We start from the raw sequence: 22,459 nt of genomic DNA on the forward strand, positions 1-22,459 counted from the left end.
TGACCGAGGCCGCGCCAGGGCGCTGTTGCTGCCAATACAGCTGTCATGGCGTCCAAGGCGCTGGCTGCGGAGAAGTGGCCGCGGTCTCCATAGAGCTGGGGGCGGGCGGCCCGGTATGGAGAGCAGCCCCGAGAGCCTGCAGCCGCTAGAACACGGGGTGGCGGCCGGGCCAGCGTCAGGGACAGGTTCTTCGCAGGAAGGGCTACAGGAGACCAGGCTCGCCGCTGGTGATGGTCCTGGGGTATGGGCGGCGGAGACCAGCGGCGGGAATGGGCTGGGGGCGGCGGCCGCCAGGAGGAGCCTCCCGGACTCGGCTTCTCCCGCGGGCTCTCCTGAGGTTCCCGGACCCTGCAGCTCCTCCGCGGGTTTGGACTTGAAGGACAGTGGTTTGGAGAGTCCTGCTGCCGCCGAGGCGCCTCTGAGAGGGCAGTACAAGGTGACCGCCTCCCCGGAGACAGCCGTGGCCGGAGTGGGTCATGAGTTGGGTACCGCCGGAGACGCGGGAGCCCGCCCGGATCTCGCCGGCACCTGCCAAGCAGAACTGACCGCCGCCGGCTCCGAAGAGCCCAGCAGCGCCGGCGGCCTCAGCAGCAGTTGCAGCGACCCGAGCCCTCCTGGGGAATCTCCGAGCCTGGACTCTCTGGAGTCGTTCTCTAACCTGCATTCTTTTCCCAGTAGCTGCGAGTTCAATAGTGAGGAGGGAGCGGAGAACAGGGTCCCTGAGGAGGAGGAGGGCGCGGCGGTGTTGCCCGGGGCTGTTCCTCTGTGCAAGGAGGAGGAGGGGGAGGAGACCGCTCAGGTGCTGGCGGCCTCCAAGGAACGCTTCCCGGGACAATCTGTGTATCACATCAAGTGGATCCAGTGGAAGGAAGAGAACACACCCATCATCACCCAGAATGAGAACGGACCCTGCCCCTTGCTGGCCATCCTCAATGTTTTGCTCCTGGCCTGGAAGGTACATTCTGCAGCTTTCTACTTCCTACAGCTTTTGGGGTGGAGGAAAACGGGGTGAGGGAGCTGCTGCATGTCAGGTGATGGCTTCCTTTCTTTCCTCATTCATCAGTCCCCTTCTTACATGAAATTCATTCCAAGACTTCCATGTTGAAGGAATATTCCTTTATACATATATCGAAAAGAATTGCCCCTAACCTCAGTCTTCTCTTGTAGTGTTTAAGAGTTCAACATTCAATTGTGGTTGATACACTTAGAAACAAGAAGGACTTAGAGCATCTTAAATCTTATGATTATTTTAAACTATAATTTCCTACATTTTCTTACTGACCTTATCACATATGCAAAAAAGTGAAGAATTGGAGAAAGTAATCTTCAGAAGTTACCATCAATCCGTGATATCATGGACTAAGTTTTCATGGTTATATTTAGTTTGATTTCCAACTAATGCCCCATTTGTGTGTAGATACTTAAGAGAATGGTGATGGGGAAGATGTGGCTCTTTAGACAAATTCCATTTAAGGAAAAGCATTGGTCTGAGACCCAATTACCGTAACTTCTTGGTTTTCAAAGATTGTTTTCATTTTATGCATGATTTTTACTTGCCTCATTTCTTTGGCTCTCCTTAAATGGTTTGGCATTATTACCAGTAACCATGCATCCGAATGTGTTAAGGGAGCTAAAACTCTAAAGAACTAAAATAAGAAAAGGTATGTCTAAGGTGAAGGAGCAAAAAAGGGAAAGACCCTTAAAAATAGGTATGTTGAGGACTCAGAGCGAGTTACCTGTCAAATGAAGTGTCTCATTTAAGCTTGCAGTGTTAGGGTGCTGAGAAGATGCATCTCACAGCACCTATTTTATTTTCAAATTGATAATTATATCTGTAGATGCAATGTTTCCTAGGAAAAAAAAACAAAACAAACTGGGTGTGGTGGTGTGCGCCTGTAATCCCAGCTACTCCGTAAGCTCAGCTACTCTGGAGGCTGACACAAGACAATCGCTTGAGCCCAGAAGTTTGAGACCAGCCTGGGCAATACAGTGAGACCCTATATTAAAAGAAAAAGAAAAATAACCTGGATTCTTCTAAACACTTAGGTAGAAAATCAAGTAAAGGGAATAGTGTTTATCAAACATGCCTTTATCTTCCTGTCGCTAGCAAGGACTGATAGAAAAGAAATAAAATTAGAAACCTTGCCATTGTCTGGTGCATAATGGCACTGAGATGTTTTAAGTGAAGACAGTACCTGCCCTTAAAAGGCTGTCAAGCTGTTTGAGGTGGCATCATTAACTTACTGGAAACTGTTTAAGAACAAGAAATAGTAAGTTATATGAGACAAGTGGTAGGTAAACTGTGGTAAATCTGTGGAAATGCATTTGATATTCAAAAAGGGGACATTTTCCTTTGGTATGGCGTAGTCCTAGAAAACTTCATGGGATTTATGGGTCTTGAACCAATCTTTTTTTTTTTCGTTTGTTTGTTTGTTTTAAAGACAAATTAGAGCAATTTAACAGATCTTTTAAGGAAGAGAATTTAGAATAACAGGGAAATGGAATTCCCAGGGGAGAGAAGAGTATAAACCAAAGGAATGAAAATAGAATGGATATTGTGTGTTTATATGTTTATTACATGACAGAAGTGGTAAGCTAATGTTGGAGAATAATGAAAAATAAGGTTGAAAAGGTGAACAAGAGCCATTTGATAAGGGCCCTCAACTAGGGAGTTAGTTAGACTTGCTCTAACGGGCCAGAGTCCCTAATCTTTTTTGTAGGAAGGAATAACTATTATTTTCCTTTAGTCTTTTTTCTTATGTAGTACTGCAGAAATTCAGAGGAAAGGGCAAGTACTGTGGTGTGGAGTATTTGGGGATAGATGCATATTAAACTGACTCATTCAATTCAGACAGATTCAAGTGAATGATCAAGTGTTTGGGTTCCCACTGTGCGTGAGGTACTAGAAATGCAAAGATGAGGCCGGGCGCGGTGGCTCACGCCTGTATTCCCAGCATTTCGGGAGGCCGAGGCGGGTGGATCACCTGAGGTCAGGAGTTCGAGACCACCCTGGCCAACATGGTGAAACCCCGTCTCTACTAAACATACAAAAAATTAGACGGGCATGGTGGTGGGCACCTGTAATCCCAGCTACTTGGGAGGTTGAGGCAGGAGAATCTCTTGAACCCAGGAGGTGGAGGTTGCGGTTAGCCGAGATCACGCCACTGCACTCCAGCCTGGGCAACAAGAGTGAAACCCCGTCCCAAAAAAAGAAAAAAAAAAAAAAAAAAGGAAATGCAAAGATGAGTATGATGCAAATCTGCCCTCGTGTAGCTGACTATCTAGTGGGATGACAGACATATAAACAATAATTACAGTGCAATGTGAGAAGCTCTAATATGCTATGGAAGTGCAGAGAAAACGGTAATTGGGGAGGGGATTATCAAGGGAAGACTTCATAGAAGAGATAACCTGTGAACTAGATCCAAAGGATGAGTGAGAGAAGACCTTCTGGGCAAAGAGAATAGTGTATTGAAAGATACTGAAGCAGAAAAGGGTTTCTTCTACTTGGAACCTTCAACCTTGGTTGAAGTGTGCAGCATAGGAGGTAAACGAAATGGTGGTAATAGCAGGACATAAAATTGATGGGTTTTATCAGACTGTGAATGAGCAAGCATGCTAATGAATTTGGAGATTATTTTGTAAATCTGTGGTTATCAGTGTTTTTTTTCTCCAGCCTGTTGATGCCCACAAAAACCAGTCATAAGTAATCATTGATGAAGAGATGGATAAGCGAAGCAAAGTAGAGCAGTATTCTCAAAGTGAGCCAGGGGTACTAGAAGTCAAAGCTATTTTTATGATAATACTAAGATGTTATTTGCCTTTTTCACTCTTACTCTCTTACAAGTGTCCGTGGAGTTTTTCAGGCTACATGATGTAATGACATCGCTCTGTCAGTTAATGCAATGTGTGCCTCTGTACTTTGTGTTTTAAATTTTTCTCAATTTTAATTTATAATAAGGTAGATATAGATAGATATCCACATAGATGAAAGTTATTGGGGGTCCTCAATCATTTTTAAGACTGTAAAGGGCTCTGGGAACAAAAAGTTTGAGAAATGCTTTAGTAGAGAAAAACAGTAAATGGGGTGTGAAGGTGGTTGTCAGATTTCAGAGGACCCATGGCTATAGGTGTTTAGACTTTATATATAGCTGATATTGGAGCTATTATAAATTGCTAGATAAAGAAATGACATGAAGAAAGTGGTCTTTTACTTTGATATTAGGCTAGAAGTAAGATTGTAGTGAGTGTAGCACGAAGAATTGATGCAGATAGCGCTTTGGTTAGAGAGTTCTTTGTCCCCCTCTTTGATGAGGATAATGTAGCGTTCCCAATGATGACTTCTCCCAATGATGACTATAAGAAGTGAAGACAGTAACAGCATTTTTCAAACCTGGGTAATAGAGATTGGCTGGATCTTTCCAAAGATAGGGAAGGTATGAAGGGAATTATTTTAGATGGGAAAGTTGATGCCAAAGTTTGGTTGTGTTGAGTTGGAAATGTCCAGTGGGGGGCATAAAAATATAAATGTTCGTTATGCTGTTAGAAGCATGGACTGGGTCTCAGTAAAGAGGCTAAATTTTTTTTTTTTTTTTTTTGAGACAGAGTCTCACTCTGTCTTGCCCAGGCTAGAGTGCAGTGGCAGGATCTTGGCTCACTGCAGCCTCTGCCTCCCGGGTTCAAGTGATTCTCCTGTCTCAGCCTCTCGAGTAGCTGGAATACAGATGTGTGCCACCACACCAGCTAATTTTGTATTTTTAGTACAGACAGGGTTTCACCATGTTAGCCTGGCTGGTCTCGAACTCCTGACCTCAGGTGATCCACCTGCAAGAGGCTATAAAATTATAGAGAAAAATCAAATTGGGAAATTACTACATAGAGTAAATATGGTAGTACTACATAGAGTAAATATGAGACTAAATGAATTCTCCAGAGAGTAGTGAGCAATAGTTCTCAACTTTTCTTCCATCCCAATATATGTGAGAGTGACAAATTGCCAGCAGAAACATCCTCTCCATCCTGCCTCAGTCTCCCCATTCCCTCTCCTCCCCTACCTCATTCTCCAGGAGACAGAGAGAAAACAGAGGAATAAAGATTACACTGGGGAAGGAGGGGAAGAATATTAAGGGTGAGAGAGTGAAAAACCAGCATGGGCACAATTTGAGATGTGGAATGAGAACTAGAAATAGGGCAATGTCATGATAGTATTCAGGGAAAGAGAATGTAATAAAAATGTAGTACATTACTATTGTCAAATGCAGCAGCATCAGAGAGCTAATAGAGTAGGGAAGATTCTGCTGAAAATGACAGGTGTAGGGACAAGGTCACTGAAAAGTCAGGATAACATGGAATCCTCAGTTCTCTTTAGAGGAAAGGAACAACAACCGTATTTTCTGAAGTAGTGGGAGGAATGGAACAAGAAAAATACAGAGACAAGGTCACGTTAAGATAGAGAGGTAGGCCGTGTGTGGTGGCTCATGCCTGTCGTCCCAGCATTGTGGGAGGCTAACACAGGAGGATCGCTTGAGCCCAGGAGTTTGAGACCAGCTGGGGCAATATAGTGAGACCCCCATCTCTGTAAAAAAAAATTATAATAAGGAAAAAAGAGAGGTAGATGAAAATTGAAGCCTCATATTTTTCAGTTTGGCAAAGTAACCATTGAACTAATAAGTAGTAACTATTGAACTCATTAATAATTAAGATTGTAAAGCATTTGACCCGGTGAATTTTGTGAGAAAAGCATATTGCATTTTAAAGGAGAATCTCAGTGGAGATTATGCTTAGGAATTTGAGGCACAAACAGAAAGACTGACAATTAGTAGCATGAATAAATTGAGGTTTTCTTTAAAAACTATTAGCATATCAGTTTTGCTTTGTTTTTGGTCTTTCCCTAGTTCGCTTATGTCCGGAAATAGGAGCAGGAAGAATGACTGGTTAGAGTTATCAAGACTTGGGCTTTTCTTTCAAGAACTGACACCTGGGGTATAGGGGCAGAGAATTAGAGAATTGAAAGTGAAAACAGCTGATCATCTGAAATTATTAGAAAATCAATAGACTGAACAAACCGGGAGGATTTGAGCAAAGGAGTAAGTGTAGTGGTTCTGGATGAGAAGTGACAGTAAAAATGATCAAACAGAGTAAGGACTGAGTTGAAAGTATTGGTTCAGAACTGCTAGAGAGTAGGCGATCATTCATAATCTATTAAGTAGTTGGCTAGGCAGTGTGGCTAACGCCTGGAATCCTAGCACTTTGGGAGGCCGAGGCCAGAGGATCAGTTGAGCCCAGGAGTTTGAGACCAGCCTGGTCAACATAATGAGACCCCATCTCTATAAAAGAAAAAAAAACTTTTTTTTAATTATAAAAAAAGAAAATCTGTTGAATAGTTGAGCTGTGATGCTCTAACATCAAGAAAGACATCTATTTATTACATTTAATTCGAGCTCAAATTTGTAATTTTGTTTACCTCTCATTTTCAAGAGATAGTTTCATCTACCTCTGTATTTTTCCTTTTTGTTGTTTTTTTATGGAGACGGGGTCTCACTATAGTGCCCCAGCTAGTCTCAAACTCCTGGGCTCAAATTACAAATTATACCAGGTAAATTTATCAAAATGTATGACTTAGAATACATTTTTGTTTTGCTTCTTTTTGACTATATTTGATTTTTAATAGTTTTTAAAAATCTTATTTTAGCTGTAATAAGTGCTATTTATAGGTTTATTTGAGGGCTGTGACCCATGTAATTAGGTGTTTATGAAGTTAAGCCAGAAGGTATATAACATATATATTTTAGTGCTTACAAAGATATTTCTTTAGTAATAGAGGGAATCCCTACTTGGTTATACTTTTTTTTTATTTTAGAAAGAATGTTATAGGTTCTGAGGCCAACATACATACAAAAAACTTACATGTAACCTATACTATACATTGTGATAGAGAAGATAGAGTATTGCAATATCTAGTCATTGTATAGCATTTTAGTAGAAAAATGAATGCACTAATTTAAGATGCTGGAAACACATCTCCTTTCCTTCTTAACTCTTTTTGGTAGGGAATTCTTTTCCCAATTTTTTTCTTTGCTTAGTATAAGCTGAGATTATCTCCTGTTCCAAGTCATGGGAGGAATGCCAGGGTCCTGAAGCAGGATTTTTTTTATATAAAGTTGGTTTCTCCAAACATCAAACCTAGAAACTGTAAAATAAGGATTAATATATTTGATTCTGTAAAATAAAAAAAAGCTTAAAAAAACAGACACACACCAAAAAAAAAAACCTCACCATAAACTAAATCAAAACACACTAAAAACTAAGGGAACTGTTTGCCAGATTATATGTCTAAGGGCTAATTTCCTTTTTTTCTTTTTTTTGAGATAGACTATCATTCTGTCACCCAGGCTGGAGTGTGGTGGTGCAATCATGGCTCCGAATAGCCTCGACCTCCCGAGCTCAAGCAATCCTCCCACCTCAGCCTCCTGAGTAGCTGGGACCACAGGTGTGTGCTACCATGCCCACCTAATTTTTTTTCTTTTTTTCTTTTTTTTTTTTTTTTTTTTGAGACGGAATCTCATTTAGTCGCCCAGGCTGGAGTGCAGTGGCACGATCTTGGCTCACTGCAACCTCTGCCTCCTGGGTTCATGCAGTTTCCGGCTAATTTTTGTATTTTTAGTAGAGATAGGGTTTCAGCATGTTGGCCAGGCTGTTCTTGAACTCCTGACCTCAAGTGACCTGCCCGCCTCAGCCTTCCAAACTATTAAGATTACAGGCGTGAGCCACTGTGCCCAACCATTTTTTTTTTTTTCTCTTTAGAGATGTGTCTCACCATGTTGTCCAGTCTGGCCTTGAACTCCTGGCCTCAAGTAATCCTGCCTCAGCCTCCCAGAGTGCTGGGATTACAGGCGTGAGTCACCATGGCCAACCCTAATTTCTTAATTTACAAAGAGCCCTTATAAATTAGAAAAGGGTGAACAGCACAATGGCAAAATGAACAAAAGGCTGTTAACAGAAAATTCAAAGTTCGAATGGACGTATGCTATTGTCTCATCACCTGCAAAGTGAGGCACCATGAAGGTGAGCCTCTTGCCAGGGCTGAGTTTTTGCTCTATTTCTCCCTACCTCCTTGATGACTTTTTTCCCTCAGATTCTTTCACATACTCTCCTAGTTTCCATCTAGGTTATGCTTTTTCCTCTGACTTGCAGAAACATTGTAATCACACAAATTTTCTCTTCCTGAAGTAGCACAGAGCTCTTTTGAGGTTTTCCAAGTGTGTTTATTACTTATAAAAAAGGAAAAACAGATGGTGAGCCAAAGGTTCCATCTTAGCCTCTGCCCACCTTGTTTTTAAATATAGATCCTGTAAAAAGAGATTAAAACTTCACACAATTGTGGGGTTTTGTTTACACAAAAGACTTAAGTAACATTTTCTGAGGCTTTCATTCCCAGTCTCCTCCAAGAATTAGAATTGGTGTTGTAACTCTGGATTTGTAAGATAAGGTAGACAAGGGCTGAGGAGAGTATAAATACCGCCAGTAGGAGTTGCCCTCTAATAGTGATAGATGTGTTCATTTTTTCTTCTCCCCTTGGTATGAGTAGTCTTTTAGTTAAAAACCTTCTCACTCCCCATTCAACCTTGTCTGTTGAGTCCCAGGTGAAGGACATTTGGGCCCAGGTGGTACTAGCAATCATAGGGGCTTTGAATAATAATAGTAAGTACTCAGTTATTTTTGTGTCCAGATACTGTGCATTATTTTACATGCATTGTATGTGTTTTCTCTTTTAAGTTTCTCAACCACATCATGAAATCCTTATGTAGACTATTGTTCTTATTTTATATATATAGAAAATTGAGGCCAGGTGTGGTTGGCTCACACTGTAATCCCAGCACTTTGTGAGGCCGAGGCAGGCGGATCACTTGATGTCAGGAGTTTGAGACCAGCCTGACCAACGTGGAGAAACCCCTTCTCTACTAAAAATACAAAATTAGCCGGGTGTGGTGGCACATGCCTGTAATCCCAGCTACTCGGGAGGCTGAGGCAGGAGAATCACTTTAACCTGGGAGGGAGGTTGCGGTGAGCCGAGATAGCGCCATTGCACTCCAGCCTGGGCAACAAGAGCGAAACTCCATCTCAAAAAAAAAAAAGAAAGAAAATTGAAGTGCATAAAGTTTAAATAACTAGTCCAAGGTAAGATTATCACCCACTCTAGAACCAGAGCTCTCACTCAGGATGTTTGATTGGGAAGATAAAGTTCAAGATAGCAATAAGTCTGGTGGACAGTAGGTCTGGGGCAAAACAGGGTGGGACAGCCAATGATAAAGTCAGAGAAGCAGAAATGGACTTCATGATTCCTTAGATCGATTCCTGGGATCTTGGTACCAGTTGGTCTTTATACAGACTCCGGTTTTTAGCTCTCTGTACTTTATCTTATGTCTCCTGAAGTGTCTGACACTTCTAGTTTCAGAGTCTCTTTGGGGCACTAAGGTGAATCAGCTGGCCTTTCCCATTGTAGTTTATTAAATATATTCTTGGATTTTTTCAGTCATTAGTAACTTCTGTTTCTACTGCTACTACCCTAGTTCAGGCCTTTATCTCTCACCTGGACTACCTTAGTAGCCTTCAAAATGGTCTCTTGTCTTACCCTATTCTCATCTTTCAAGCAATTAATGTAAAAGTTTTATTATCAATTTTTGAGGGGGGAGATATTTCAGCCTAGTAAGCTTGCTGAGCTTCTTAAATATAAATAGTGAATTCTGAATGGAAGATGCCTTCTTTTACTAGTTAATTTTTTTTTTCCAGACAGTGTTTCATTCTTGTTGCCCAGGCTGGAGTGCAATGGTGTGGTCTTGGCTCACTGCAACCTCCACCTCCTGGGTTCAAGCTATTCTCCTGCCTCAGCATCCCAAGTACCTGAGATTACAGACACCTGCCCCCATGCCCAGCTAATTGTTTTGTATTTTTAGTAGAGACAGGGTTTTACCATGTTGGCCAGGCTGGTCTTGAACTCCTGACCTCAGGCGATCAGCCCACCTTGGCCTCCCAAAGTGCTGGGATTACAGGCATGAGCCACCGCACCCAGCCTACTAGTAAATCTTTTATTAGTAAATCTCACTGCAACAACATTCTTTATTGCTCTAAAACACTTTGAAGTGCATATAAAATAAGACATTCTTGCAAATTTAATATGTGTGAATATATCTGCAGTTTCTGACAGTTTTAAATAGGCCTTGGTCTTACTCTGAGGATAGGGTCTAAATTATGATAAAAACTGATGAAAGTGTTTCAGAATTTCAAAGCCTTTTTAACTTGTGGGTTGTCTCCTAAAATTTTCCTGTTTTGAAATACTGATGGTGGCGAAGCGCAGTGGCTCATGCCTGTAATCCCAGCACTTTGGGAGGCCAAGGCGGGTGGATCACAGTGTCAGGAGTTCAAGACCAGCCTGGCCAAGATGGTGAAACGCTGTCTCTACTAAAAATGCAAAAATTAGCCGTGTGTGGTGGCGGGCGCCTGTAATCCCAGCTACTCGGGAGGCTGAGGCAGAGAATTGCTTGAACCCAGGAGACGGAGTTTGCAGTGAGCCAAGATCGTGCCACTGCACTCCAGCCTGGGTGACAGAGCGAGACTCCATCTCAAAAAAGAAAAAAAAAAGAAAGAAATACTGATGGCAAGTAGAAAGCCAATTAGATTCACTGAAAAGTCTGAATTTGAGTATTTTTAAGTATAGTATTACTAGTAGTAAATGAATAGTACATACAAGAAATTAAAATGTAAAACATGTGTAATAGCTTATAATACATAAATTTTTATTTGCTGGAGCCAGAATTAAAGGCATGTTAAAAGAATCCTTAAGTTTTTGAGTCCTTATTTTGAAAAAAGCGGGTAAAGCTTCTCTTTGATTCCCATTAATACTTCTAATATTTTCTAAAGAATAATTTCTTTACAATTTCTACTAAAAAATCATGAATACTATATATTCATGCTGAATATATAAATGCTACATATATACACACATGTGTATATACACTGCATATTTCAAATTAGTGAAATTTTGACTATTATTTAGTGCGTCCATTTTGCCTTACATAAGTAATGCAAAAATAGACTGCAAAATAAAAATCTTATCTTCTGTGTTCCAAATTCAACTCCCTGTTTGAATGTCAAACTAAAAATGTCACAGTTCCAAAGCAGACATCATTTTCTTCTACAAACTTAATCTTCACTTGCCAAATTTCCATTGTTATCAATTGTATGGATCTTAATTTTCAGAGTTTCCTGAGCCTTAGAGTCAACTTTTATTATTCTTTCCTCATCGTGCTTCACTTTTCACTGGTCACAAAGTTCTGTCAATTATGTTTTGTATAAGATTTCATTGAGTGGAAAGTGTTCTGCTGTTCTTAAAAAAGTCTGTGAGTATTGATAATTGGCTTTGGTAATTGGTAATTTGGTAATTGGCTTTGGTGTCTGATCTCACTTCTCATCACAGTACTTCTACTTACTTTGGCTAAATTAACTTTTTAAAGCCTTAGTTTATTCTTTGAATGGAGGTAATAATGCCTGCTTCATAGGATTGCTGAGGATTCAGGTAACATAAAATTGAATGACAATTAGTAGATGTTCAATATATTTAATTTTTTCTCTCTGTTTTTTTTTTTTTTTTTTTTTTTTTTGAGACAGAGTCTTGCTCTGTCACCCAGGCTGGAGTGCAGTGGCGTGATCTTTACTCACTGCAGCCTTTGTCTTCTGGGCCCAAGTGATTGTCCTCCCTCAGCCTCCTGAGTAGCTGGGATTACAGACACCTGCCACCGCGCCTGGCTAATTGTTTGTATTTTTAGTAGAGACGGGATTTCACCATGTTAGCCAGGCTGGTCTTGAACTCCTAACCTCAGGTGATCCGCCCACCTCGGCCTCCCAAAGTGCTGGGATTACAGGAGTGACCGACTCTGCCCGGCCCCTGACTTCTTTTTTCTAAAGAGCAGAGACTGGCAAATACTCAATTTTATATTTTCTCAAATATCTTCCAACTTTGAAGAGGTGTTGGAACTCAAACTGTGTGTTGTTGAGTACTTATTATATTGGTATTCTAATTGTTAAGCATTTAAAAACATTATTTGGCTAGTAGTAATTTTTGTACTTGTCATCACCTACATAAACTGCTTCTTATTTCTTAGTTATTGCTGAGTCCCCTGCATTTATCTTTTCCTTTGGATTATCAAAATCATAGGTGTCAAAACCTTGGCATATCACTCTTAGGATGTTTTACATTCCTGTTTAAGATTTCACTTACAGTTTAAACAGAAGGTTTTGTTGTTAGTATTTTTGGTCTTGCTTGAGTCTATTCCCAAATTTACTTTACTCTTTAGATGATTAAGAATTACAGAATGGTCCGGGCATGGTGGCTTACACCCGTAATCCCAGCACTTCAGGAGGCTGAGGCAGGCAGATTTAAGCAGAAGTCTGGGCTCCTGCTTGAGTCCAGGAGTTTGTTCAACATGTCAAAACCCCATCTGTACAAAAAATACAAAAAATTAGCCAAGCATGGTGGCGCACACCTGTGGTCCCAGCTATGTGGGAGGTGGAGGTGGGAGCATCACCTGAGCCCGGGGAGGTTGAGGGTACAATGAGCCATGATTTTGCCACTGCACTCCAGCCTGGACGATAGAATAATTGGGCTAAATTTTTGAGGTTTTACCTTATAATGGAATATTTGGAGTCGGAGTAGCTATTTTCTTTTATTAATTTAAATATTCTTGTGCTTATATTAATAATTTTCCAGGGCCGAGTGCAGTGGCTCACACCTGTAATACCAGCAATTTGCGAGGCTGAGGTAGGAGGATTGCTTGAGGCCAGGAGTTCAAGACCAGCTTGGGCAACATGGTGAAACCCCACCTCTATAAAAAATACAAAAATTAGCCAGGTGTGGTGGTGCGTGCCTGTAGTTCCAGCTACTTGGGAGGCTCAGGTGGGAGGACTGCTTGAGCTGGGGAGGTCAAGGCTGCAGTGTGCCATGATCCTGCCACTGCGATCCAGCCTGGAGGACAGTGAGAACATGATGTCTTAAAAATAATAATAATAATTTCCTCAGGAAATCTAGTTAATTCAGTAATATTTATAGGGTAGGACATTTTCCTAGATAATAAAAATTTATTTGGCCTCTATTAATTGGGAGCTATTTGTTAATATATGTTGAGATACTTTGTTCAAATTTTACGGAGAATATTTAAACTACTTAAAGTGCCTTCCAAGTGCCTTTGTATATGTTAAAGTACTTATTTATTTTATGTTGTAGATAATTACTAAAATAGGTCATAGTTGATTTGTCATTTTTTTCTTTCTTTTCTTTCTTTCTTTCCTTTTTTTTTTTTTTTTTGAGATCGGATCTCTCTCTGTTGCCCAGGCTGGAGTGCAGTGGCATGATAGCGGCTCACTTCAGCTTCAAATTCCTGGGTTCAAGTGGTGCTCCCACCTCAGCCTCCCAAATAGCTGGAACTACAGGCACGTGCCACCACACCTGGCTAAGTTTTGTTGTTTGTTTTGGGACTTTTTCTGTAGGGACATGGTCTCCCTGTATTGCTTAGGCTGGTCTCAAACTCCTGGGCTCAAGTGATCCTTTCACTTCAGCCTCCCAAAGTGCTGGGACTGTAGACGTGAGCCACCGTACCCAGCCTGTTATTTTTTTCATTGTAAAGCTTAAAATTTAGAAAATCAGACAGACTGCCACAACTGTTAATTCTGTATTCTTAGCCAACTATCTCATAACCTGTTTCTCCTTTGAAAAAATCTAAAAAGACAAAGGAGTACAAGCCTTATTAGGTCATTAAGAAAACCCTTGGCACTTGCTTTTGAAGTGATGGTGGTGAAGGAAAGCAAAAAAAAAAAAAAAAAAAAAAAGAAAAGCAAGCTTTTGGGAAGATCTTAGATGGTTAAAAAAATAATTAAGATCTGTGGATGGCTCCACAGTATTAGTGTGAAGTAGGCACTTTTTAGTTTTAATAAACATCCAAAGTACTTTACTGGCTATGATTCAGGAAATGAATATACTACTGACTTTGCTTGTAAGTAAGTGAGTCGAAATATTTGTGTATTTGCTTCTAAAAAAAAAATCATCTAATGCAGAGATCAGCAAACTTTTTCTGTAAAGGATCAGATAGTAAATACTAATATTTTAGGCTTTGCATGCCATACTGTCTCTGCTGCACAAATTCATCTCTGCATTGTAGTGCAAAAGCAGCCAGAGATGGTACATTAACAGATGAGAGGGACTGTGTTCCAAAAAAACGTTTATTTAGAAAAACAGACAGTCGACAGTAATTTGCCGGAGTTTCAGTTTAAAAATATGCCATATATGGGAACTCTCTGTACTTTCTGCCCAGTTTTTCTGTAAATCCTAAAACTGCTTTAAAAAAATAATCTATCGAATTTTTTTTTAAACAGAGTCTCACTCTGTCACCCAGGCTGGAGCGTAGTGGCACGATCTCTGCTCACTGAAGCCTCCGCCTCCCGGGTTCAAGCAATTCTCCTGCCTCAGTCTCCCAAGTAGCTGGGACTACAGGTGTGCGCCACCACACCTGGCTAATTTTTGTGTTTTTTTAGTAAAGTCCGTGTTTCACCAAGTTGGCCAGGCTCGTCTCGTACTCCTGACCTCAAGTGATCTGCCCACCTCAACCTCCCGGATTACAGGTGTGAGCCACCAGGCCTGACCTGAAATTATTTAAAAATGTCACAGAGAATAAAAATAATTTAGAATGAAATGATGATCAAACTTCAAAGACATCTCTTGGTTTTTACTGAATAATAAATCTACTGGATGACTAAATATAACTATTGACTGTCATATATGCTTACAGATGGCTTCAAACCATTCTGTTTTATAGGGATCTTTTTAAAAACTTATTTTACTTGTTGATTAAAACAAAATTGTGACATTATTACATTTGATAACGTAAACACCTAGAGGACCTTTTTCAACATTTGGGGGAATTGTTGGAGAAATTGCTGATTTAAAGGATTTCTTTGGATGAACACAAAATAATTGGTGAAGAATTTTTAACAATGTTACTATTCTTCTATCACTGATATAGTAATTACTTTGAGTTTCCATCCTACAGTATTTATTTTTTCTCCTAGTCTATAAATATATCCTGGAATGTGCTCGTCACTGTCAGCTAAAGTATTTACAATCATTGACTGTAATATCCATGTCATTCATTTGACAACGCATTTGAACAATTAATTTAGACTAATGTGTTGTTGCAGCTGAATTAATTTTAATGGATTTTCTGGGGTTTTTAGTTTAAATATCACTATAACGTATCTTTACTTTTAACCTTCTTATTGTGAAATATAACACATAGAAAAATACATAAAACAGATATCCAGTTTAATAAATTATTATAAAGCAAACATCATTGGAACTACTATTGCAGGTCAAGAAGGTCGAAGAACAGAGCATTGTCAGCACCTCAGAATCCCCTTAAAAGCCCCTTTCCAACTATAACTCCTTCTGTTACCACTGGGGATAACCATAATCTTGATTTTTTATAGCGTCCGTTTCTTTACTTAGTAATTTATTTTTTATTGAGATGGAGTTTCACTCTTGTCACCCAGGCTGGAGTGCAATGGTGCATTCTTGGCTCACTGCAACCTCTGCCTCCCGGGTCCAAGTGATTCTTCTGCCTCAGCCTCCCAAGTAGCTGGGATTATAAGCATGCGCCACCATGCCCAGCTAATTTTTGTAGTTTTAGTAGAGGCAGGGTTTCACCATGTTGGCTAGGCTGGTCTCGAACTCCCAACCTCACGTGATCCGCCTGCGTTGGCCTTCCAAAGTGCTGGGATTACTGGCGTGAGCCCATATGCCCAGCCCATTTCTTTACTTTTTTTTTTTTTTTTTTTTTTTTACTCTGTTGCCCAGGCCAGAGGTGTCACCATGTTGGCCAGGCTGGTCTCCAACTCCTGACCTCAAGTGATCTGCCCACCTTGGCCTCCCAAAGTGTTGGGATTACAGGCAGGAGCCACTGTGCCCAGCCCATTTCTTTACTTCTTAATAGTTTTATCTCCTATGTGTGCAGCTCTAAACAATATAGTTAAATTTTGCCTGTTTTTAAGCTTTGCATTACTTTTAATAGCAAAACCGCAATTAGTTTTGCACCAACCTAATAAATAGAATAATACAGTAAAGACTGGTTATAGGCTGGGTGCAGTGGCTCACACCTGTAATCCCAGCACTTTGGGAGGCCGAGGCAGGTGGATCAGAAGGTTAGGAGATTGAGACCATCCTGGCTAACAGGTAGAACCTCCTCTCTACTAAAAATACAAAACAATTAGCCAGGTGTGGTGGTGGGTGCCTGTAGTCCCAGCTACTCGGAAGGCTGAGGCAGGAGAATGGCCTGAACCGGAGAGGCGCAGCTTGCAGTGAGCCGAGATTGCGCCACTGCAGTCCACCCTGGGCAACAGAGCGAGAGTCCGTCTCAAAAAAAAAAAAAAAAAAGCCTGGCTATAAAGATTCTAATATATGTGAATGTTAATGTATAAGTATAGTAGATACATAATTAGACATAAGTATTTGTGTTTCTGACTGCAAGAAATACTTTAGTCACCTAAAACATTTAATTTTATAGAAATAATATTTTGTTTTTCAGGTGAAACTTCCACCGATGATGGAAATCATAACTGCTGAGCAGCTGATGGAATATTTAGGTTAGTGTTGAAAAGTGGATTTTATATCTCTTTCAAAACAAAAGTTTTCAAAGCTAGTTGATTACCCAGTCTCACCTTTCTGAAGTGCTATTATATAATCTATTTTAAAATTATAGTTTTGAATCTGCTAATTAAAAATTTTTATCAGTATGTTACTGTTCTTAGATGGTATAGTCTTCTTTCTGACCAGCATTAAAATTCTGTAATACCCATAAGGAATCTAGGTAACGTCTAGAAAACAAGATACATCTTAATCCCAATAAATTGTAGAATGGGAGATGGTACAGAATCGCTGACATTGCATGTAGAAAGTGTTCAAAAATATTGGGTAGACTTGAATTAAAGACAAAGGAGGTGATTTAGAGCAGTGCTACCGAAAGTGTGATTCATGGACCTATGCCAATCTACAAAATGTTAGTTATCAGGCTACAGTGAGGTAGAATCTTCTCCTAGGATGTAAAATATTTACATTAGTAAGCACACTGTTTATTTCAACTGAAATTTTTTTATAGGGAAATTTTCTTGTTGAAGGAAGTAATGTATTAAATTGCATTCTTCTCTAAGCTTCTTATTTCAAAACAGACCAGTAGTACAGTTTGTAGACTGGCTACATTGAGTTGAACTTGTTTAGAGAGCAAGCAGTTGTACATCACATTGTGGCCTTTTATAATCTGACAAATAAGAATTTATATATTTATACTATCACCAAATAGGAAATCTTAATCCATATTCTACAGTTTTTTCAGTAATTAAATTTTTATTTAGGCCAGGTGTGGTGGCTCACGCCTGTAATCCCAGCACTTTGGGAGGTCAAGGCAGGCAGATCACTTGAGGTCAATAATTTGAGACCTGCCTGGCCAACATGGTGAAACCCTGTGTGTCTACTAAAAATACAAAAATTAGCCAGGCGTGGTGTCATGCACCTATAGTCCCAACTATTCGGGAGGCTGAGGTGGGAGAATTGCTTGAACTCAAGAGGTGGAGGTTACAGTGAGCCAAGATCATGCCACTGCACTCCAGCCTGGGTGATGGAGTGAGACTCCGTCTCAAAAACAAAAACATATTTTATTTTTAAAAAATCTTGTCAACTGGGGCCGGGCACGGTGGCTCACGCCTGTAATCCCAGCACTTTGGGAGGCCGAGGCGGGCCGATCACAAGGTCAGGAGATCAAGAACATCCTGGCTAACACGGTGAAACTCCGTCTCGACTAAAAAATACAAAAAATTAGCTGGGCATGGTGGCAGACGCCTGATGTCCCAGCTACTCGGGAGGCTGAGGCAGGAGAATGGTGTGAACCCAGGAGGCATAGCTTGCAGTGAGCCGAGATTGCACCACTGCACTCCAGCCTGGGCAACAGAGCGAGACTCCGTCTCAAAAACAAAAGAATCTTATCAACTGGTTAATTTGTCTCTACCCTTCCAGGCAACTAGTTCACTCATTTTTTGTGAGATACAGACTTAGTGATATAACTGAGACAGGAAATTTTAGAAGATTTTTTTTTTTTTCTTTTGAGACAGAGTCTTACTCTATTGCCCAGGCTGGAGTGCAGTGGCGTGATCATGACTTGCTGCAATCTCGACCTCCCTAGGCTCAGGTGATCCTCCCACCTCAGCCTCCCGAGTAACTGGGACTGCACGCACATGCTACCACACCCAGCTAATTTTTGGGTTTTTGGTTTGTTTTTGTTTTTTTTGTTTTTTGAGACAGAGTTTCACTCTTGTTTCTCAGGCTGGAGTGCAATGGCGTGATCTCAGCTCACCGCAACCTCCACCTCCTGGGTTCAAGTGATTCTCCTGCCTCAGCCTCCCGAGTAGCTGGGATTACAGGCATGCACCACCACACGTGGCTAATTTTGTATTTTTAGTAGAGATGGGGTTTCTCCATGTTGGTCAGGCTTGTCTTGAACTCCTGACCTCAGGTGATCCGCCCACCTGAGCCTCCCAAAGTGCTGGGATTGCAGGCGTGAGCCACCGTGCCTGGTTAAGTTTTATTTTTGTAGAGATTGGGTTTCACTGTGTTTCCCAGGCTTGTCTTGAACTCCTGGGCTCAAGCGATCCTCCCACCTTGGCCTCCCAAAGTGCTGGGATTACAGGCATGAGCCACTGCACCCGGCAGGAAGACCCTTTTTAGAAAATATAATTCATATCATTTAATCCCCATTCACTGGCTAGGGACCTCATAGTTAAGGGTAGATTACTCTGAATACCTAGATGTCTGCAAATCGCCTTAAAAAGAAAATCCCTCTTTTAGGCTAGCTTAGTGATTCTTTTTATTTTTATTATTATTTTAAGTTTTTTTTTCCCCATGGGACTCTACTTGATAAATGATTCTTAAAGTTAGTGATTCCTAAGTTATATTTTATGGGGAAGGCTGAAATATGCTGGGTGATTTTGAGGAATAGCCAATATGACTGTCAAGGAGTACACAAAGGGGAGTTGTAGGAGATGAGATCAGAGAGTTGATGCAGTCAGGTCATATGGGGCCCTAAAGATGTAACAGCAATTTTGGTTTTTGCCATGAGTAAGCTGGGAAGCTGTTGGAGGATTTTGAACAGAGGACTGACATGATCTAACTTTGGATTTAATAAGAATTCTCTAGCATTTATGTTGACAATAGACCTTAGTGGGGGGTAAGACAAGTGGGAAAACTATTTAGGAAGTTATTACAACTAGCAAAAGATGGTGGCTTTAAACAAGGTAAAATAAGTGAAGTTTGTAAGAAGTGGTTAGATACTGGATACAGAGTTGACAGAATTTGCTGATCAGTTGGATATAGAGTGAAAGTGGAGTCAAGGACTATCTCATTTTTGGTTTGAACAAGTAGAAGGATGGAAATAGGAAAACTGAAGCAGGAAAAAATGGAGCAAGGCTTTTAGGGAGAAATTGCAGGATTTTTGTTTTTAGATGTTTATTTACATCAAAATGGAGCGATCAGGCTGGGTGTGGTGGCTCACGCCTGTAATCTCAGCAGTTTGGGAGGCCGAGGCAGGCAGATCATGAGGTCAGGAGATCGAGACCATACTGGCTAACACGGTGAAACCCCATCTCCACTAAAAAATACAAAAAATTAGCTGGGAGTGGTGGCGGGCACGTGTAGTCCCAACTACTCGGGAGGCTGAGGCAGGAGAATGGCTTGAACCCAGGCGGCGGAGGTTGCAGTGAGCCGAGATCACGCCACTGCACTCCAGCCTGGACAACAGAGTGAGACTCCTTCTCAAAAAAAAAAAAAGGGAGCCATCAGGAAAGCAATTTTATATATATATATATATATATATATATATATATATATATATCTTGAGTTCAGAGGAGAGGTCTGGATCAGCACTTTCAATTAAAATTTCTGTAATGATAGAAATGTTCTGTATCTGTGCTGTCCAGGTTAGTAGCCACTAGCCACATGCGGTCCTCAAGCTCTTAAAATGTAGCTCCTGTCTTGAGCCCAGGAGTTTGAGGCCAGCCTGGGCAACATGGTGAGACCCCCATCTCCACTTAAAAATTCAAAAATTAGCCAGGCGTGATGGTGTGCACCTGTAGTCCCAGCTACTTGGGACGCTCAGGTGGGAGGATTGCTTGGGCCTGGGATCCAGAGGCTGCAGTGAGCCAAGATCACAAGACTGCACTCTACCCTGGGCAACAGGGCAAGACCCTGTCTCAAAATATGTGTGTGTGTGTGTGTGTGTGTGTGTGTGTGTGTGTGTATGTGTGTGTGTGTAATGTGACCAAGGAACTGAATTTTTAATTTTATATAATATAAATTAAATTTAATAGCCACATATTGCTACTGGCTACTGTATTAGACAGTACAAGTCTAGCCTGTAAATATATATTTACAGACAACATATATAAACAGTAGTTAGATTGGGTGAGATCATTAAGGGAAGGAATGTAGTAGATAAAAGAAAAGGTCAGTAGACCGAGTCTGGGATATGCCAGTGATTAGAAGGTGGGGAAGGAGAAAGAGCCGGCACGGTCAGCCAGGTAGAAGAAAAATAGGAGGCTGTGATTTCCTAGAATCGTAATGAAGAAATGTTTCAAGGAAGAGTGAGAGATGAGCTGAATCAAATGCTGCTAATAGCTCAGGCAGGAGGAATACTAAAAATTGACTGTTGATTTAGCCATAAGGAGGTCATTGATAACCTTGATGAGTGTATGGAATGAAAACCTGACTGGAAACAAGAAAAAACTGGAAACCCTCACACCTAGCCAGTAGAAATGTAAAATAATACAGCCACTTTGGAAAGCAGTTTGGCAATTCTTTAAAAAGTTAAACAGAATTACCGTATGACCATGAAATATCATTCCTAGGTATTTACCCAAGAGAAGTGAAAACGTATGTCCATACAGCTTGTATAAAAATGTTCAGGCCACACGCGGTGGCTTACGCCTGTAATCCCAGCATTTTGGGAGGCCAAGGCAGGTGGATCACAATGTCAAGAGTTTGAGACCAGCCTGGCCAACATGGTAAAACCCCGTCTCTACTAAGAACATAAAAATTAGCCGGGCGTGGTGGCACATGCCTGTAATTCCAGCTACTCGGGAGGATGAGGCAGAAGAATCGCTTGAACCCGGGAGGCGGACGTTGCAGTGAGCCGAGATCATGCGATTGCACTCCAGCCTGGGCGACAGAGCAAGACTCTGTCTCAGGGGGAAAAAAAGAAAAATGTTCAAAGCAGTATTATTCATAGTAGTCAAAAAATGGAAACAACCGAAATGTCTTATCAACTGATGAGCAGATAAATATAGATTTGTACAGTGGAATATTATTCAGCCATAAAAAGGTATGAAGTACGAATACATGCTATAACATGGATGAACCCTGAAACTTTTAAGTGAAAGAGGCAAAGTACAAAAGACCATATAGTGTATGATTCCATCTATATGAAACATCCATTAGCCAGGCTGGTGGTGCGTGCCTATGGTCCCAGCTACTTGGGAGGCTGAGGTGGGAGGATCACTTGAACCCAGGAGTTTGAGACTGCAATGAGCTATGACCATACCACTGCATTCCAGCCTGGGTGAGAGAGCAAGAACCTTATCTCTAAAAAATGAAAGTTTAAAAAAACCAGAATAGGCACATTTATAGAGACAGAAAGTAGATTAGTGGTTGCTTAGGGCTGGGGAAGAGATGGGGTGAAATGGGGGTTGACTGCTAATGGGTACAGGGTTTCTTTTAGGGAAGACCAAAATGTTCTAAAATTAGATCATGGGACTGGCACAGTGGCTCACGCCGTAATCCCAGCACTTTGGGTGCTTGAGGTGGGTGGTTCACTGGAGCTCAGGAGTTCAAGACCAGCCTGGGCAACATGGCAAAACCCCGTCTCTACTAAAAATACAAAAAATTAGTCGGGTGTGGTGGCACATGCCTGTAGTCCCAGCTACTTGGGAAACTGAGGAGGAGAATCGCTTGAACCCAGCAGTCGGAGGTTGCAGTGAGTGGAGATAACACCACTGCACTCCAGCCTGGGCGACAGTGAGAAACTGTCTCAAAAAATAAGTAAATAAATAAATAAATTTAAAAAATAAAATTAGATTATGATGATAGTTTCATAATCCTGTGAATATACAACAAAAAATAATTGAATTGTACATTTTAAGTGAGTAGCTTGTATCGTATGTGGATTATACCTCAAAGCCATTTTATAAAAGAGAAAACTAGAGAAAGGGAACTGCAAAAAATACTTTATACAAATAGAAAAATTAGCCTTAGATAGTTCATCCATGGTAATAGGAGGAAAGACAGACTGTATTACAAATAGGTGCAGGTAGGTGGGTGGAT

The 22,459-nt window shown here is 40.9% G+C and overlaps 1 protein-coding gene across 13 annotated transcripts in view; it reads left to right on the forward strand.

The window, feature by feature from the left end:
• The window catches only part of MINDY2 (MINDY lysine 48 deubiquitinase 2), a 90,599-nt gene continuing 68,161 nt past the window's right edge, over positions 22–22,459 (forward strand). For all 13 annotated transcript variants that reach the window (XM_011521687.3, XM_011521688.3, XM_017022332.3 and 10 more), the window contains exons 1-2: positions 22–955; positions 16,626–16,683. In XM_011521687.3, the coding sequence (XP_011519989.1) occupies positions 116–955; positions 16,626–16,683 (898 nt within the window). In that variant the 5' untranslated portion in view covers positions 22–115. The remainder of the gene's footprint in view (positions 956–16,625; positions 16,684–22,459) is intronic.

Source organism: Homo sapiens, chromosome 15 (assembly GCF_000001405.40).
Source record: "Homo sapiens chromosome 15, GRCh38.p14 Primary Assembly".
Lineage (NCBI taxonomy): Eukaryota > Metazoa > Chordata > Mammalia > Primates > Hominidae > Homo > Homo sapiens.